This window comes from Homo sapiens, chromosome 2 (genome assembly GCF_000001405.40).
Source record: "Homo sapiens chromosome 2, GRCh38.p14 Primary Assembly".
Classification (NCBI taxonomy): Eukaryota; Metazoa; Chordata; class Mammalia; order Primates; family Hominidae; genus Homo; species Homo sapiens.
In genome coordinates, this window is record NC_000002.12 from 241,189,764 (window position 1) to 241,208,815 (window position 19,052).

Here is a 19,052-nt window from a genome sequence, read left to right on the forward strand (position 1 = left end):
GGCATTCAGGGCTGGGGGACACGGGCACTCACTGGATGGACAGACAGACGCCTGCTGTGCCAGGCCTGCCAGACGCTCCCGCCCCGGCACTGGTTTCTTCCTGGAGCTCGTGGCTGGCTAGGGGGTTCTCCATGTGCTCATGGCCAGGAGAGTCTGCCGAGCCAGCCCAGCCCCATTCTACTCCGAGTCGAGTCTGTAAAGTGAGCTCACTGCAGGCAGTGTGGTGGCCCCAGGAACGGGTCTCACCCATCCCCTCTCTGACCCCCATCCCCACCCGGCCTTGCTGGGTGCAGGAGCAGGATGCTGCGGCGACGGGCCCAGGAAGAGGACAGCACCGTCCTGATCGATGTGAGCCCCCCTGAGGCAGAGAAGAGGGGCTCTTACGGGAGCACAGCCCACGCCTCGGAGGTAACAGCACCCAGGAGACTGTGGTGCGACTTGAGAGGTCCTCCCCTGCCTGGGTCTATGCCCCCACCCTGGGCCCAGAGCCTCTGGGGGTGGATGGGCATCACCGTGTTTCTCCTGCATCCCCCGGCAACCCCCAAGCCCTCGCCACCCAGTCCTCAACACACACAGTCAGATCACCGCTCTCCTGGCCTGGCCTGGCTGTGGAGAACCGAGCAGAACCCACTGATGTTCAGACAGGAGCTCCAGGAGGGTAAGGGGGGCCTGGCCAGGCAAAGGCAAGACCAGGGCGGGGCCCTCCCTGTGGTGTCAGTCCCAGTCAGTGCAGGGCCACAGCAGCACCCAGGGCCATCTGTAGGGCTCCACCTTGTCACTAGGAGGCCATGGATGCGCTGTGAGCCTGTGGGGAGAGGCTGGGTCCCGGGCCTTCAAGGCCATGCGGGAGGCCCTGGCCGTGGAGGGCCCTCTTCCTGGTTCTCCTGGGCCACACGTCTGCCCCAGCAGCCTGCGGGTGGACACGGGACCCCTTCCTGCCGCCCCAAGCACAGCTGAGATGAGCCTCCAGGGAGGGCACAGGGCCTCTCACCTCAAGCATCCAGACACTCTCGGTCGCCATGGCCAACTCTGTCCTCAGGGCCCCTTTGGGAGCAGTCCGGCTCCCCTCTGCCCCTGGAGGCCAGCAAGGCAGGCACCCCTGGTCCTGGCCATGCTTCCCGCCAACCTGACCCTTGCCATGGGCCTGGCCCAAGGAGGAGGGGAGCCGGCTGGAGGCCCAGGGCTGGTGGTGCCCTCTGGCCCTGCCTGCCGCTCCCCGCGCCTGCGCATCCTGTGCCCCCACACAGCAGAGGGGCTTCCCCCTCCACCCCCTACCCACCCGCCGAACATTCTTCTGTGGTCCTGAGTGTTCTGGGGCAGGGCGGGGACGGGTTGGAGGCGAGGACGGCTTCAGGGTGGGGCGGGGTGGGTGTAGTTGTCGAGGGCAGATGCTGATGCTGATATGCTTCTCCATCCTCCATGCCTTCCAGCCAGGTGGACAGCAAGCGGCCGCCTGCAGAGCTGGGAGTCCTGCCAAGCCCCGGATCGGTGAGCCCCTCCCAGCACCTGTACCACACCCGTGTTGGTCCTGAGGGTGGGGACACCACGGGGGTGCCCCCAGGGGCAGCAGGCTGGGGTAGCCTCCTCAGTAGCCACTCTGGGGCCAGTTGCTTGGGGATGGGGCACTGGGGTGAGGGCCTCGGGGTGAGCAAACCACAGTGGGAAGAACAGCAGGAAAGGGGGCTCCCTACTGATGGGGTGGGGCCGGAAGGGCTCTGGAGAGTGGACAGGGCTGCCCCCTCCCTCCTGCTCCAGTCCCCTCCACCATCCTCCAGCTGTTCAGCCACAACTCAGGTCATTTCTGACTCTTATCTCTTGCACTCCACCCCTTTTGTACCTTCAAAATCTCTTTGATCCACCCCCAACCCACTGCCTCTGTCTGCCCGGAGCTACCACCGACTCCAGGGGATTGCACCAGCACCAGCCGGGCTCCCAGCACCCACCCCGCCCACCCTGCTGTCCCCTCAGCACCAGAGAGACCCTAACCTCCTCCCACTAGGATGGCTACTACTTAAAAAAAATCACAAGTGTTGATGAGGATGAGCGGAAACTGGCTCACTTGTGCATTGCTGGAGGGAGTGTAAAATGGTACAGCTGCTAAGGAAAACAGCAGTTCCTCAGAGAATTCAGCACAGAGTTCCCGTAAAAGCCAGTATGTCTTCCCTGGGTGAGCGCCCACGAGCACGGGATGGGGGCCCCGGGGAGATATCTGTACACCCGCAATGTCATTCACTGTAGCTGGAAGGCGTGCATTCGTCTGCTGGGACTGTCATAAGAAGTACCACAGCCTGGGCCAGGCACAGTGGCTCATGCCTGTAATCCCAGCACTTTGGGAGGCCAAGGCGGGTGGATCACCTGAGGTCGGGAGTTCGAGACCAGCCTGATCAACATGGAGAAACTAAAAATACAAAATTAGCCAGGCGTGGTGGCACATGCCTGTAATTCCAGCTACTCGGGAGGCTGAGGCAGGAGAATCGCTTGAACCCAAAAGGCGGAGGTAGCGGTGAACCGAGGTCGCGCCATTGCACTCCAGCCTGGGCAGCAAGAGCAAAACTCCATCTCCAAGAAAAAAAAAAGTACCACGGCCTGCGGGGCTTAGATGGCAGAACTTTCTTTTCTCACAGTCTTGGGGCTGAAGCCCGAGGTGAGGGTGAGGCAGGGCTGGTGGCTTAGAGGCCTCTCTTTTGGCTTTTGCAGACGCGCCTTCTCCCTGTGTCCTCACACCCCCGGGGTCTCTTCCTCCTATAAGGACACGAGTTGTCATGGATTAGGGCACACCCTAATAGCCATCACGTGTCTTTAATGACCTAATCTCCAAATACAGTTTCATTCTGAGGACTGTGGGGTGGGGCTTTGACATACAAATTTTGGAGAAACTTAGTTCAGCCCATATCAAGGTGGAAGCCATCCACGTGTCCACCTACAGATGACTAGATAAGCAAAATGTGGTATTTACATCCAACGGATTTATTCAGCCTTAAAAAGGCAGAAAAGTCTGACACAGGCTGCAACGGGGATGCGCCTTGTGGACAGTATGCTACGTGAAATCAGCCAGTCACAAAAGGACAAATGTGATTCCACTTATATGAGGTCCCCAGAGAGTCAAATTCATAGAGAGAGAAGGTAGAATGGTGGGTGCCAGGGGCTGGGGACGGGGAGGGGGAGTTAGTGCTTAATGGGCGTAGGGATTCAGTGGAGATGGATGGTGGTCATGGCTGCACAAGAATGTCAATGTCCTTAGTACCAATGACCTGTACACTTAAATGTGGTTAAGATGGTTTTTTGTTTGGTTGGTTGGTTTTTTGTTTTTTGTTTTTTGTGTTTTTTTTGAGATGGAGTCTCACTCTCACCCAGGCTGGAATGCAGTGGCACAATCTCGGCTCACTGCAACCTCTGCCTCCCTTCGCACCATTCTCCTGCCTCAGCCTCCCGAGTAGCTGGGACTACAGGTGCGCCCCACCACGCCCGGTTAATTTTTGTGTTTGTAGTAGAGACGGGGTTTCGCCATGTTGGTTGGGCAGGTCTTGAACTCCTGACCTCAGGTGATCCGCCCGCCTTGGCCTCCAAAAGTGCTGGGATTATAAGTGTGAGCCGCCACGCCCAGCCTAAGATGGTTTTTTAAAACGTAGACAGCCCTTATTTTCTCAAAATCCTCCACACGCCCCCTCTGTGTGTGTGAGGCTTAAGGCATCCTCGCAGCTGCCTGTGCAGCCACAGGCCTACCCCTCCCTCCCAGCCCCACCAGGCCCTCAGACCACATCTCCTGCTACCAGAAGCTCCCCACCCTTCATTCCAAGACAGCACCTCCCAAGATACAATCGTTTTAAACTTTCATATAAAGGTAGAATATATTCTATCCTCTGAGAAAATCATGCCTTTTATCAATATTAATTGTGCCTAGAAAATTGTCTATCCATAATCATGCTTTGTGTCTTAAAATCCATTTGGCCTGGTATTGTTAAAGTTTTGTCAGTTTTGTGTGTTCTGTTTTGTGTCAAAGGGATTAACGTATGCCTGATGTATTATTTCCCATATTTAGAAAGTGAGTCTTTCAATCCTCAAATATGGTATTTTCTCCATTTATTTAGGTCTACTTTAATTTCTCTTTTCTTTCTTTCTTTTTTTCTTTTTGAGACAGAGTTTCGCTCTTGTTGCCCATCTGGAATGCAAGGGCACGATCTTGGCTCACTGCAACCTCCACCTCCCAGGTTCAAGTGATCTCTGGCCTCAGCCTCCCAAGTAGCTGGGATTACAGGCATGTGCCACCACGCCTGGCTAATTTTGTATTTTTAGTAGAGACAGGGTTTCGCCATGTTGGCCAGGCTGGTCTCGAACTCCTGACTTCAAGTGATCTGCCTGCCTCGGCCTCCCAAAGTGCTGGGATTACAGGCGTGAGCCACCGTACCTGGCCTTTAATTTTTTTTTTTTTTTTTTTTGCTGCTTTCGTGAGATCTTGCACATCTTTTAGTAGATGTATTCCAAATAGCATTACTTGGAAAATTTCACTGCCTATGTGTCATAGGTATATAGAAATTATTTATTTCCTTTTTTTTTTTTTTTTGAGATGGAGTCTCGCTCTGTTGCCCTGTTGCCCAGGCTGGAGTGCAGTGGCGTGATCTCAGCTCACTGCAAGCTCCGTCTCCTGGGTTCACACCATTCTCCCGCCTCAGCCTCCTGAGTAGCTGGGACTACAGGTGCCGGCCACCACGCCCAGCTAATTTTGTTTTTGTATTTTTAGTAGATATGGGGTTTCACCGTGTTAGCCAGGATGGTCTTGATCTCCTGACCTCGTGATCCACCTGCCTCAGCCTCCCAAATTGCTGGGATGACAGGCGTGAGCCACCAAACCCAGCCACAATAAGATATTGTAAAAGAGCGAGACAGAATGCCCACATTCACATAACTTTTACTGCAGCATTTTGTTATAATTATTCTGTTTTATTATTAGTTATTGTTCATCTCTTACTTTACCTAATTCATAAATTAACCTTCACCATAGGAATGTATATCATAGGTATGTACGTATTATAGGTATGTATAGGGAAAGACAGTATATATAGGTTTGTTACTCTGCACAGTTTCAGGCATCCACCGGGTTCTTGGATAGATCCCCTGCAGTTAAGGGGACTCCGTTGTCCTTACTCCTCGGGTGTGGCCTGCGAGTCTCTGCTGGATGACCAGCGTGTTCCAGCTGGAGCTCAGATTCCCCAGCACTGTGTATCCTCTGGAATCTTTGTCAGCCATGGGCCTCCAGCAGCTGCCTCTGTGTATGAATAGCTTGGTGCTCCAAGGGCCTGGGGGACTTTCTCACAGACCCGGTGGCTCCGTCTTCTTCCCAAGCTCCAGCCCCCTTAGCAGCACCTAATTCAAATGCCCATTCGCCTCACCCACCAATGCCTCTGCTTGGGCTCTATTGCCCTCCCTGTCGTTTGGGAAATGCCCCAGGAGGAAGTGAAGGGAAGGGAAGGCTCACCTCGCACGCTCCTCTTATCTGGAGCGCCTGAGCCCAGCATCCATTGCTGTCTCATGCCAGAAAATCAGGGGCTTCGGAAACTTTCTTCAGCTTTGATGATTCTCTATGGCAGGACGGGAAGTCTGACAGTGACTTGCACCTGAGGTCCTTGAAGACCCCTGTAGGAGTCTGGGACTTACCCTGCAGGGATGAGCACCATAGCAGGAATCTCAGAGGGCCATACCCAGCCCCTCTCCAGGCCTCCGTTCCCCACCCAGGCCAATGCAGGGCTGTCCTGGAACCTGGAAGTGCTCCTGGAGTCCTCCTAGCCCTGGCTGGGACCAGAGAGGGGATCGGGAAGGAACCGGCCCTGAGTGTCCAAGTGCATGGCTCCCCACTGCGTCCCGGCTGGGATGCTGGCATCCCTTCCCTGGGCCGGCCACTGCCACTTAGCCAGGCTCCTGCCTCTGTCCCTGTTGGCTCCCAGCAGACTTCGTCCTCGTTTGGGAGGAGGACCTGAAGCTAGACAGGCAGCAGGACAGTGCCGCCCGGGACAGAACAGACATGCACAGGACCTGGCGGGAGACTTTTCTGGATAATCTTCGTGCGGCTGGGCTGTGTGTAGACCAGGTACGTGGAGGCTGTCATGGGCAGGGCCCTAGGCCCTGCATCCACTCAGTGACCCATGACCTTGCCGCATGAGGCCTGAGGGCATGGTGTCCAGAGTCCCAGAGCAGATCAGGCCCCAAAGTCCTGCTGGACCCCCCAGCCACCGTGAGCTCCTCCGTGTGGCTAGGGAGCTGCTGTCCAGAGGCGGAGGTAAACATTGATCCCTCCTGCACACTCAGCTCTCTCATGGAAGTCGGAGCCCTCAGGGTCACCTGAAAACTCTGACACTACCTTTGCCATTCACCTGTCCCGTCTCCAACATTAAAGCTTTTGGGTAGGCGTGTCATTTGTGTTTATGACTCTCAGTGTGCTTATAGAATTAACAGCTTAAAAAGTCCTTTCACATGTTTGCTTTCGGTGATAATGGTAGGTACCACTTAGAATCATTTAAGCAACAGGTCCGGGGAGCGTGAGAAACAGGAACTAGGCGTGAGGATGCTGGGTGTGCGGGCACAGGCAGGCGCAGGTGGGGCTTGGGGCAGCTGGGGATTGGGGTGCAGAGCCCAGCTCTCACCCTGCTGTGTCCCCCACTCATTGCCAGGTCTGTCCAAGCGGCTCCTTCCTTCTCTGCCCTCCTCTGACCACCTTCCTCTGTCCCCAGGAGCAGGCTGTGCTGTCACCTGTCCTCTCCCTCTCCACAGAGTAATCGATCCTGAGTTTTATGTTCATCCCACTCGGGGTTTCTTTACCATTTTAGCGCCAATTTTACATAATCAAGCAATACAGCCTGGCTTTGTCTGTTTGAGATCGGCAGAGCTGAATCTCATGCGGGGTCATTCCTGCGGTGAGGCCCGCCCATATGGCCAGTGACTGCTGCCCCGGGGCCCACCCTTGCCTTGCCGCAGGCAGCTCACATGTGAATGCCGGTCTTTGCTTATGGATGCCGTGAGAATGGGCATTTGACTTGTTCCCAGTCTGGGATGATTATGAAAATCAGCTACTGTCAATTCATTCGTGTGTGTGTGTGTGTGTGTGTGTGTGTGTGTGTGTGTGTGTGTGTCCTTGTGCCTGTGTGCAGGGACTTCTGGGAGTAGGGGTGCCGGGCCGAGGCATGTGCATATGGCCAACCACTCCCCACGTGGTGGCCCCATTTCCACCATCGGCAGTGGCCTGAGGCCCCTTGCTCTGTATCTTCTCAACACTTGATACTGCAGACTTTTAACGTTTTACCAACCAGTTGGGATATAGTGGTGGCTCACCGTGGTTTGTGTGCTTGTTTGTTTGTTTGTTTTTGAGAGAGAGTCTCGCTCTGTTGCCCAGGCTGGAGTGCAATGGCGAGATCTTGGCTCACTGCAACCTCCACCTCCCGGGTTCAAGAGATTCTTTTGCCTCAGTTTCTCGAGTACCTGAGATTACAGGCACCCACCACCACGCCCAGCCAATTTTTGTATTTTTAGTAGAGACGGGGTTTCACCGTATTGCCCAGGCTGGTCTTGAACTCCTGACCTCAGGTGATCCACCCGCCTCGGCCTCCCAAAGCGCTGGGATTACAGGCGTGAGCCACCGCGCCAGGCCTAACGAGACAGGGTCTTGTTCTGTTGCCCTGGCCGGAGTGCAGTGGTGCAGTCACGGCTCTCTGCAGCCTCAATCTCCCGAGGCTCAAGCCATCTTCCCAGCTCAGCCTCCTGAGTAGCTGGGACTACAGGCCCACACCACCATGCCCGGCTAATTTTTTGTAGAGATGAGGTCTCACTTTGTTGCCCTGGCTGGTTTGGAACTCCTGGGCTCAAGCAATCTGCCTGCCTTAGCCTCCCAAGTCACCTGCCCTTTTTTTTTTTTTTTTTTAGACAGGGTCTGAATCTGTCACCCAGGCTGGAGTACAGTGGTGTGATCTTGGCTCACTACAACTTCTGTCTCCTGGGTTCAAGTGATTCTCCTGCCTCAGCCTCCCGAGTAGCTGGGATTACAGGTGTGTACCACCACACCCAGCTAATTTTTGTATTTTTAGTAGAGGCGGGGTTACCCTATGTTGGCCAGGCTGGTCATGAACTCCTGACCTCAAGGGATCTGCCTGTCTCAGCCTCCCAAAGTGCCGGGATCACAGGCATGAGCCACCACGCCCGGCCTCACCTCCCTCTTCCTTATTAAGGCTTAGGAGCTTGTTGTCTGTTCTGGACACTTAGCCATTGCTGGTGGCGTGTGTGACAGACATCTTTCCCCAGTCCTGGCTGGCTGTCCTGGTCATGATGGTGTCCTGGTTGGTTTTAACCTGCTGTGGACTGAGTTAGTCCTGCGTCCGACTCCCCTCCACCTTCCGTGCCTTTCTTCCCTCACCCACCTTCTCATTCCCACGTTGCCTACTCCTTGTCCAGAACACACAGGGAGCAGCCCCTACTTGCCACATCACCCCACCCCAGGGTGCCCCTCCCTGCCCCGCTCTCCCTGGCTTCCTTCCAGTCCTTCTCAGGTGTTGGCACATGGAGCCCACAGAGCTAACAGCCACCCCACTCCTGAGTTTGGATCTGCTTCAGTGTCTGGGAGGTGGAGGTGAAAGACACCTGCTTTTATTATGGACAGAGCTGATTGGGTGGCGTGGTCCCATGAGTTTTCAAGGTCATCATCCAGACTCGAGCAGGTTTGCCCTTTAGTTGAGGGCAGGGGGGACTACTGCAGGGGACGCCGGTGGCCCCAGCACGTTGCCCAAAGTGTGCCTGGTCTGCGGTCTGCAGGACAGTTCTCAGCTCTCACAGAACATCACGGCCAGCTGGGGGCCAGGGTCTGCCCTTGACTCTGTTCCACTTCGCCCAAGGTGGGGCCGGGACTTTGGCACTTAGGGAACCCCAGATGGCTGTGAGGGCTGAGGACCACTGGACTAAATGGGATGGTGCTGAAAAGCAGTTATGCACTCAGAGGAGGCACTTCTGCACTGGACTGAATCAGATCCCTGTCTCAACCCACCCCGGGCTCCAGGAGCACCTGTCACATGTTGGCACACATGTGCACATGTGAACATAGACAGTAGTGCTCACCTATATGTACACACACATACACACGGAAACATGTCCGTGCACAGCATGCATGTACACCTGGTGACCGATCAAAGGTGAGGCGACGTTCGATGTTGAAAACCAAAAGCTGGAGGCACTGCCCCTCAAGCCAGGAGGCAGGCGTGTGTCAGCATAGTCTGGCCAGCAGGGCAAGGCTCTCCCTAGCCTTAGGGGAGGCTGCAGGTGACGCCGGTCCCAACAGCATGCTGTCTGCAGCAAATCTGTTGCTGGGGCCGACTCCCAAACGGGGCTGTCGAGGCCCGGTTGGCTTTCAGAGGCGTATCCATGGGAGTAGGTGTCATGTATCAAATAGGAGATTCAAAGTCAGCTGTTACCACGGCTACAGAAATGCCAGTCTTTTCCTAAGAGTGCGAATGGACACACACATGTGCATACGTGCACACATGCACCCTCAGGCTCTCACGGAGCCCTGGGTGCCTACAGCAGGACGTCCAGGACGGGAACACCACAGTGCACTACGCCCTCCTCAGCGCCTCCTGGGCTGTGCTCTGCTACTACGCCGAAGACCTGCGCCTGAAGCTGCCCTTGCAGGTACGTGGGAGGCATGGGGACAGGGTGGGCCTGGAGGTCCCGGTCCCCACACACTGCGTTCAGCTGCCAGTGCCGACAGCCTCAGGAGGGCTCCCTGCTCAGAGGCCTCAGGGGCTCCTCCTACCCACCCCGACACCAGGCCCCAAGAAACCTCACTGGGCAAACAGGGCAGGTGGTGGCATCCCCCACAGTGGGCTCCCGGGAGGTGGGGTCGGGTGAACAGTGCGTGTGCACTGAGCTGGCCCCTCCAGGCCCAGACCCCCGCCAGGCCACCTGCTGAGGGCCCTGCCTATGAACATGGGGTGGAGAAGGCTGCCTCCAGGTGACCTCAGGAAGATGGGCCTGGACGTGGGTCCGCCTCCCACCGCACTGGCTGGCCTGACCCTCACTGCGTGCGGGTGGGAGACACGCTACTTACCAGTTCCCACCCCTTTTCCACTTGAGGGTCTCTGGGCTACAAATTGACAAGCTGAGCAGCCTCAGAGCCTGAGGCCCTGAGAGGGGAAGGGGCTCACCTGGGCCCTCACAGGGTCTACCACGCTCCTTCCCTCTGCTGGAGCCCCTTCGCCCATTGCCCAATTTGCAAACTTGCACAACCTCCACTCCCACCTGGGGCATTTGCCCTCCTCCCGGGAGTGGGAGGAGCCACTGACGTTTCCTTCCAGGAGTTACCCAACCAGGCCTCCAACTGGTCGGCCGGCCTGCTGGCATGGCTGGGCATCCCCAACGTCCTGCTGGAGGTTGTGCCAGACGTACCCCCCGAGTACTACTCCTGCCGGTTCAGAGTGAACAAGCTGCCACGGTAAGGCAGGGGCCCTGCCAGTCGGAGGAAAGAACAGGAGTGAGTGGGAGTCGGTGAATGAGTGAGCGGAACTTGGTGCTTCCCCAGGACTCTCCTCACCTGGAGTTTTCGGCAGGGAATCTGAGGCCAGGTGCGCACGCTTATCGCGTGTCTGCATTTCCAAATGCCGCTGCGTCAGCCGGGCTGGGGCGGTTGTGCTGCAGGACAGATAACCCCCCCAAGGCCCAGTGGCTGGACACGCGAGGTCTAGTTCCTGCTCAGGCACACGTGTGGTGGGGCGGCGCGGTACCTGCTCACCACGGTCTCTCAGGGCCCGGGCGATGGAGGCTCTGTCTCGTCACAGCGTCCCCAACTGTGGAGGTAGAATACAGGGACACGTTTGGCCCATGCTGGCTCCCTCCTGGAAACGACACGTGTGTCGTCCACACACATTACTACTGGACAAAGCCAGTTGCACTATGGCACCAGGCCTACAGACTAGGGGAGTCCAGAAGTGGCAGGGACCACTGTCGGGGAACCAGTGCTGAAGGCGGCCTTTCTGCCACACGGGATGCCTCCTTTTGGGGCTGGTGGGAAATTCAGCCTCACTCCGTGTTGCCCCACCTATGGCTTCCCAAGATTCTGGTTTCCCAGGGAGGGCCCCTACCCAGTCACTGTCCGCACTGCCCACGAGCACCCTCGGCCCCATGACGGAGCTTCAGGGCGGCACACGGGATGGGGCTCCCTGGCCAGCCTGGCCCTCTCTACACCGCCCTGCCCTGTGCCCAACCACAGTTTGCTTCCCCCCACCCTGTGTGTGGTGAGGGGTTCTGGGTATCTGGGGGCCTGCTGTGGCCTCCTGTTCCTGGGGATGTGAAAAGGCATAATCGGGAGCTGCTGACCTGCCGGGGAGCCAGCTGCTTCTCCTGGGGCGAGGGCTGTGTCCGCAGGCCTGTGCTTCTGCGTGCGCGCCAGCACCCGGGCCCCAAACCTTCTGCACCGTTCACATGCCCGCAGCTTCCTCCAAACCTTCTGCACCGTTCACATGCCCACAGCTTCCTCCAAACCTTCTGCACTGTTCACATGCCCACAGCTTCCTCGGGAGTGACAACCAGGACACCTTCTTCACAAGCACCAAGAGGCACCAAATTGTGAGTGGGGGTTCCCTGCCGCGGGCCCCAAACCCTGACCTGGCTCTGAGGATCCTGCCAGCCCCCAGCCTCCATGGATGCAGAAAGGCCTGCTTGAGACCAGAGGGCCGAGGCCTGGAGCCCGGAGGCTTTGGAAACTTTAGAGGCTGACCTCACCTCGCTACACAGGGCAGGCCATGACCTGGGATTGGGAAGGGGTGGGGAAGGGCCCAGTTCCCCTCCGGGACCCCAGGGCTCAAAATAGATATTGGATCTATGGACATGTGGGACAGCCGAGACTAGCCCCAGGCAGGGTGGGTCCTGCCGGCTGGGAGCAGACCTGCCCTGCAGCGTCGGAGGAAGGGTGGCCCCAGGCGGGGCAGGCCCAAGGCACCCGGCAGGAGGCCTGTTCCTGAGGCCTACCCAAGAGAGGCCCTGCTGACCACCACAGGGCACACAGTCACGTGGCTGCCCAGGTAGGGGGCAGGGCACACCCTGGACACAGCTGCCAGGCTGCAGTGTTCACCGTCACCCAGGGTGCAGGTCCAGAGTGGGCTGCGCACGGCCAGGCAGGGGCCCAGCTTCAGGTGCAGACTCGACTCCCACATGCCGTGTGGCTCTGGTCAAGGACTCTGAGCCTGCACAGTGGGAGAATGAGCACTACCCTGGCACAGGGGCGTCCTGCATGTGCATGTGCGGTGGTGACACAAAGTCCCAAGCCTTTCCATCAGATCGCTATTGTCACCAGAAGGCTGAGGGAGGCCGTCCATGGCCTTGGCCTAAAGACAGGCTAGCTAGGACTTCCCTGTTCTGCTATCACGTGACAAGTGACCTGCGCCATCCTCCACATCCCCTGCAGCTGTTTGAGATCCTGGCCAAGACCCCGTATGGCCACGAGAAGAAAAACCTGCTTGGGATCCACCAGCTGCTGGCAGAGGGTGTCCTCAGTGCCGCCTTCCCCCTGCATGACGTGAGCTCGGGGGCTGGGGGCTCCAGCCTGGGTATGGGAGATGAGTCCCCTTGGGTCCTGTTGGCCCCCAGGGAGGCGGGTGTGGGGCAGGCATGGTCAGCCGGCGTGGCCACCCAGGAGTCAGAACACTAAATGCACACACATGCGGCGATGTGATCAGGCCATCCCGTGGCCTGTCCGGGGCCTCAGGTCCGGCTCTGCGGGGACTGCAGCCCACACTGCGGTGCCCAACACGGGAACAGGCCGGTCCCTGGGCTCTAGATGCTATGGCTCTGTCTCTCTGGGTAGCGTCTCTTGCTGGGAAAGACAGTGAGGTCTCCTATCCCCCTCCAGAAGCTGGGTAAACTGAGGCAATGCCAAAGCGGGCACTGACCAGGGCAGCTGCCGCTGCACCTGTTCCTATCAGCGTTACCATCATCCCTGAGAAAACAGCCACTGTGGGGAGCAGAAGGCCATTTATTCCCCCACCCGCCCAAGCCTTCCCCCTTGGCCGAGCAGGGGAGGGGCCTTGCAGGCAGCCAGGGCATCTGGGGCCTGGTCAGGCCTGAGCCCACTGCTGCATGGCCAGGGGTCCAGTCCTGCCCCAACGCCGTCATGAGGGTTAAATGAAAAAGTGGGTGTGGAAATGCCAGGTGTCCCACCTTGCTGGGGTGGCTCCTCCCGCCAGCCAGGGCCCAGAATGCACAGCACAGGACACGAGCCTGGGGACTCTCCAACCCAGAGAAGGTGCTGGACCCTGGACCACCGCCACTGGCTTCTCTCAGGGTGGCCTCTCCAGGCCCTTCCCCGCCCTGAACCCTCGAAGTCCAGGAGTCAGAGGGGCCTCACCACATATGTCCCCTCCTCAGAGAGGTCCTCCCGGACCACCCTGTACCCACCCCTCCACATTACTCTATTTTTTCTTCATGGAGCAATCCCAGACTCCCAGGCCTGTCTGCCCATGTCCCACACTGAAGCCCCTGCACCTACAACAGTGCCCAGTGGGGTCAGCTGGGGGAGCCTCCCACCCACAGGCCGCTCGCCCCCAGGGCCCCTTCAAGACGCCCCCAGAGGGCCCGCAGGCTCCACGCCTCAACCAGCGCCAAGTCCTTTTCCAGCACTGGGCGCGCTGGGGCAAGTGGAACAAGTACCAGCCCCTGGACCACGTGCGCAGGTACTTCGGGGAGAAGGTGGCCCTCTACTTCGCCTGGCTCGGTGAGTCCCCCCCGCTGCCCCCCAGACCACCTGGGCCCCCCCAGCTTGGTGTCAGGTTGTAACAATTTGCCAGTCCGTACCCCTGGAGGGCAGCGTGCGTGGGGGCCTGGACGGTGGGCGCAGCTCTTGGCTCGACCGGGCTGCCCTCCTGGCTCCCCTCAAGCCCACTCACTCTAACTGGGCGCCATGACGATGCCGGGCCCTGGCCTCCTAATGCTCCAGTAACAGTGCTGAGAGCCGCTTCTGCTGGTGGGGGTCTCTCCTGACTCCCTCCCCGAATGTCACTGGCCCATGAGGCCCTGGGGCAACCCCAGGAACTTCCATCCTAGGGAGGTCGCCCCTGCCTGGGTCCAGGCCAAGCCTCTCATCTCCTCCAAGCAGGCCATCTGCCCCAGGCAACCCCAGAGCTGTTCCTCCTGGGTCCTGGCTGCCCTCACCCCACTCAGCTCTTGGCACCCTCCCTTCCCCATCCTGGGTCAGACCCAACCCCTTCATTCTGTGCCCCAGAACTTCCAAAGCCCTTTCTCATCCGCACACACAGCCCCACCGTGGACCCAGACAATAGAGCCAGCCAGGGCAGCGGGCGGGGCCGGCAGGCATGGAAGGGCAGCCGGGGCACAGCATCGGGGCAGAGGGACAGCTCCTGTGTGCCAGGACTCACCCGGCCATCTCAGGACCTGGAGCAGCAACCCTGGGACAGCACGGCCAGGCTGGGGGCTTCTGGGGGCAAGCAGGGCCAGGGCTGGATCTGGGCTCCAGGCAGACTTGCGTTTCACAGCAGTCACTTTGGCCAGCAGAGAGTCAGGCAGGAGACAGGACACCAGGCCTGGGACTGGACTAGCCCTATGGGAGGCAGTGGGGGTACATGCTGAGGGCCTGGGGTAACTGAGGGATTGCGGCTGTGGTCAGATGAGGCAGGGGCCAGGGTGGGGGTTGGGTGGTGGGGAGGGAGGTACCCGGAATGACTCGTGGTTTCCCTGGGGCTGGAACACGGGTGGGCCCACAGCTCTGTGGTGGGCAGGATGTAGAGGGACTTCTCTGTCCGTCCCGGGCAGGTTGGTTGGAGTGAGCTGGCTGAGGAGAAGGCATCCAGAGGTGGAGAGCCTGGTGGGCTGGAGCCCCAGCAGCACTGGTGTTGGGGTCAATGTGGTAGGGGTGTCCAGAGTCTAGGGCAGAGGCCCAGGAGGGTGGGCCGTGCCAGAGCTGCCAGGGAGAGCTGTGTACCTCTTGGCCTCCTCACATAGGGCCCCAGCCCCCAAGCTGGGCTGAGGGTGGTCCCTAGGGGACAAGCATGGCTGTGCAGACCCCTACCTGGGGCCCCCAAGCCTGGGTTCCTGATGGTGGACCCCTGCCATCCTCTCTACAGGGTTTTACACAGGCTGGCTCCTGCCAGCGGCAGTGGTGGGCACACTGGTGTTCCTGGTGGGCTGCTTCCTGGTGTTCTCAGACATACCCACGTGAGTGTTCCCTCTCCGCAGCTCTGGGGCCTGGTGCTGGGCCTCCAGATGGGTGTGGGGCGGGGGGACCCCTAGGTGCTAGGTCCTGTGCAGACAGCTGGTGCTTGAGGTGATTGAGGTGTGAGGTGAGCACATGCCTGTCTTCAGGAGTGTCACAGAGGGCCTTGTGGACATGGCTGAAAGGCTGGCAGGTGGACAGGAGTGCTCCCAGGCTGACAGGTGGACAGGAGTGCTCCCAGGCTGACAGGTGGACAGGAGTGCTCCCAAACTGACAGGTGGTCAGGAGCACTCCCAGACTGACAGGCAGACGGGGCGCTCCCAGGCTGACAGGTAGTCAGGAGTGCTCCCAGGCTGGCACCGGTGGATAGGAGTGCTCCCAGGCTGACAGGTGGTCAGGAGTGCTCCCAGGCTGATAGGTGGACAGGAGTGCTCCCAGGCTGACAGGTAGCTAGGACTGCTCTCAGGCTGAAACAGGTAGACAGGTGTGCTCTCAGGCTGACACAGGTGGATAAGAGTGCTCCAAGGCTGACACAGGTGGACAGGAGTGCTCCCAGTCTGACAGGTGGACAGGAGTGCTCCAAGGCTGACACAGGTGGACAGGAGTGCTCCCAGTCTGACAGGTGGACAGGAGTGCTCCCAGGCTGACACAGGTGGACAGGAGTGCTCCCAGCCTGACACAGGTGGGCAGGAGTGCTCCCAGCCTGACACAGGTGGACAGGAGTGCTCCAAGGCTGACACAGGTGGACAGGAGTGTTCCCAGTCTGACAAGTGGACAGGAGTGCTCCCAGGCTGACAGGTGGACAGGAGTGCTCCCAGTCTGACAGGTGGACAGGAGTGCTCCCAGTCTGACAGGTGGACAGGAGTGCTCCCAGGCTGACAGGTGGGCAGGAGTGCTCCCAGCCTGACACAGGTGGGCAGGAGTGCTACCAGGCTGACACAGGTGGACAGGAGTGCTCCCAGGCTGACATAGGTGGACAGGAGTGCTCCCAGCCTGACAGGTGGACAGGAGTGCTCCCAGGCTGACACAGGTGGACAGGAGTGCTCCCAGCCTGACACAGGTGGGCAGGAGTGCTCCCAGCCTGACACAGGTGGACAGGAGTGCTCCAAGGCTGACAGGTGGACAGGAGTGCTCCCAGGTTGACACAAGTGGACAGGAGTGCTCCCAGTCTGACAGGTGGACAGGAGTGCTCCCAGGCTGACAGCTGGGCAGGAATGCTCCCAGCCTGACACAGGTGGGCAGGAGTGCTCCCAGGCTGACACAGGTGGACAGGAGTGCTCCCAGGCTGACAGGTGGACAGGAGTGCTCCCAGGCTGACACAGGTAGACAGGAGTGCTCCCAGTCTGACAGGTGGACAGGAGTGCTCCCAGGCTGACAGGTGGACAGGAGTGCTCCCAGGCTGACACAGGTGGTCAGGAGTGCTCCCAGTCTGACAGGTGGACAGGAGTGCTCCCAGGCTGACACAGGTGGACAGGAGTGCTCCCAGCCTGACACAGGTGGGCAGGAGTGCTCCCAGCCTGACACAGGTGGACAGGAGTGCTCCAAGGCTGACACAGGTGGACAGGAGTGTTCCCAGTCTGACAAGTGGACAGGAGTGCTCCCAGGCTGACAGGTGGACAGGAGTGCTCCCAGTCTGACAGGTGGACAGGAGTGCTCCCAGGCTGACAGGTGGACAGGAGTGCTCCCAGGCTGACAGGTGGGCAGGAGTGCTCCCAGCCAGACACAGGTGGGCAGGAGTGCTACCAGGCTGACACAGGTGGACAGGAGTGCTCCCAGGCTGACATAGGTGGACAGGAGTGCTCCCAGCCTGACAGGTGGACAGGAGTGCTCCCAGGCTGACACAGGTGGACAGGAGTGCTCCCAGCCTGACACAGGTGGGCAGGAGTGCTCCCAGCCTGACACAGGTGGACAGGAGTGCTCCAAGGCTGACAGGTGGACAGGAGTGCTCCCAGGTTGACACAAGTGGACAGGAGTGCTCCCAGTCTGACAGGTGGACAGGAGTGCTCCCAGGCTGACAGGTGGGCAGGAATGCTCCCAGCCTGACACAGGTGGGCAGGAGTGCTCCCAGGCTGACACAGGTGGACAGGAGTGCTCCCAGGCTGACAGGTGGACAGGAGTGCTCCCAGGCTGACACAGGTAGACAGGAGTGCTCCCAGTCTGACAGGTGGACAGGAGTGCTCCCAGGCTGACAGGTGGACAGGAGTGCTCCCAGGCTGACACAGGTGGTCAGGAGTGCTCCCAGTCTGACAGGTGGACAGGAGTGCTCCCAGGCTGACACAGGTGGACAGGAGTGTTCCAAGGCTGACAGATGGGCAGGAGTGCTCCCATGCTAATTTTATTGGCACTCTTGTTTATTATAATAATGTAAGCTTTCTTATAATATTAATAAATGGGCTTGTGTTTTAGTTTATCATGGAACTGAAATTCAGAAACTTAACTCAGACATTGTCATGGCATATATTTTAAAACAACTATTTTTTTTAAGAAATGCTGGGCCTGGCAAAGGCAGTGGTGGACAGAGAGGACAAGGGAGAGAGAGGACAAGGGAGGCGCCTGGCTGGGAGGAGCAAGCAGCCCCCCTCCCCCATTAGCTCCCACCCCTCCGCTCCATGCCTTGCAGGCAGGAACTGTGTGGCAGCAAGGACAGCTTCGAGATGTGCCCACTTTGCCTCGACTGCCCTTTCTGGCTGCTCTCCAGCGCCTGTGCCCTGGCCCAGGTACGAGAAGAGGTGGGTGGGGTAAGGGATTTGAGAGTCGGGGATGAGGAGGGCAGCTCCCCTTGTCCTGGTCCTGACTCTGCCTGCACCAGCCCCTGTCCTGCTTGTCACCAGCTAAAGGCAGAACGCTCCATGAGCTCCTTAACCTTTGTTCTCTTGCCTGGAACTGGGGTTACACCCGGCACACACCTCCCAGCACTTGGCAGAGTGGCCCATGTTAGTGCTTCCCACTTGAGGACACCCCACACCAGGACTCTAGCTCTGGCACTCTGGGGGCACCTGGCCCTTGGCTCCAAGGCGGACAAACCCTGGAGACCCCAGGGCACAGGCAAAACCAAAGGTTTTGAGCAGAATTCCCAACTTACAAGACCTGGGCGGGAGGCTCCTGCAGTCTCTGAGCCCCACTGTCCCCCCTCCCGCCTGGCATGCTTCCTGGGTCTGTCCACCTTCCCAGGGGCCTCAGGGCCTCGCTTGTACCCCACATGCACTGGACCCAGAGCCCTTGGCACTACTGGTGGGCCAGACGCCGTTTGACCTCACTTCTGGGAATCCACTTGGATGTTTCCTAGGACCACAAATGGGGACTTAAAACAGCAGAAGCTTATTCTCACAGGCCCGGGGCCAGAGTCCAGAATCAAGCTGTTGGCAGGCTTGGCCACTTCTGGGGACTCAGCCCCAGGCCTCTCTCCTGGTTTCTGGTGCTGCTGGCAGTCCTTGGTCCTCCCTGGCTTGTGGCCGCCTCATTCCAATCTCTGCTTCCATCTCCACCTGGCCTTCCCTTCTGTGTCTGCGTGCTGGTTCCTCTTCTCCCCTCTTGTAAGGGTTTGTCCAGAGTACTCTCATCTGGAGATCCTTACCTTACATCTACAAAGGCCCTTATTCAAATAAGATTACATTCTGAGGTTCCCAACGAACATATCTTTTGGGGGCCAGAATTCAACTCACTACAGGTCATCCTCTGGTTCCAAAACTTCATGTCCATCCCACGTGCAAAATACACTCACCTCATCCCAGCATCCTCCAAAGTCTCAACCTCTTACAGCATTAACTCTAGGTCCAAAACCTCATGAAAATATCAGCTCAGAAAGTCCCAAATCGCATCCTCAAAGTCAGGTGTGGGTGAGACCTGGGTGTGAGCCGTCCTG

The 19,052-nt window shown here is 58.6% G+C and overlaps 1 protein-coding gene across 31 annotated transcripts in view, besides 2 other annotated features; it reads left to right on the forward strand.

The window, feature by feature from the left end:
* Positions 1 to 19,052, forward strand: part of ANO7 (anoctamin 7) — a 51,632-nt gene that overhangs the window by 1,087 nt on the left and 31,493 nt on the right. For 17 of the 31 annotated variants that reach the window (XR_007076377.1, XR_007076376.1, XM_011511267.3 and 14 more), the window contains exons 2-11: positions 294 to 408; positions 1,431 to 1,488; positions 5,940 to 6,082; positions 9,525 to 9,660; positions 10,326 to 10,462; positions 11,497 to 11,592; positions 12,431 to 12,541; positions 13,570 to 13,735; positions 15,102 to 15,192; positions 17,811 to 17,919. Coding sequence is in view for 29 of the 31 variants with exons in the window: in XM_011511267.3 (XP_011509569.2) it covers positions 294 to 408; positions 1,431 to 1,488; positions 5,940 to 6,082; positions 9,525 to 9,660; positions 10,326 to 10,462; positions 11,497 to 11,592; positions 12,431 to 12,541; positions 13,570 to 13,735; positions 15,102 to 15,192; positions 17,811 to 17,919 (1,162 nt within the window). In the remaining 2 variants the exon portion in view is untranslated. Of the gene's footprint in view, positions 1 to 293; positions 409 to 432; positions 659 to 1,430; positions 1,489 to 5,939; positions 6,403 to 9,524; positions 9,661 to 10,325; positions 10,463 to 11,496; positions 11,593 to 12,430; positions 12,542 to 13,569; positions 13,736 to 15,101; positions 15,193 to 17,810; positions 17,920 to 19,052 lie in introns of those variants that run through there. The other 14 variants (XM_047444603.1, XM_011511263.3, XM_047444598.1 and 11 more) reach the window with 11 other exon arrangements.
* Positions 486 to 986: an enhancer, noted in NCBI's record as "H3K4me1 hESC enhancer chr2:242129664-242130164 (GRCh37/hg19 assembly coordinates)". NCBI's record gives its function as "activates a minimal SCP1, AML or CMV promoter by ChIP-STARR-seq in primed H9 embryonic stem cells {active_cell/tissue: H9 hESC(primed)}" and the evidence as "EXISTENCE:reporter gene assay evidence [ECO:0000049][PMID:30033119]".
* Positions 987 to 1,487: an enhancer, noted in NCBI's record as "H3K4me1 hESC enhancer chr2:242130165-242130665 (GRCh37/hg19 assembly coordinates)". NCBI's record gives its function as "activates a minimal SCP1, AML or CMV promoter by ChIP-STARR-seq in primed H9 embryonic stem cells {active_cell/tissue: H9 hESC(primed)}" and the evidence as "EXISTENCE:reporter gene assay evidence [ECO:0000049][PMID:30033119]".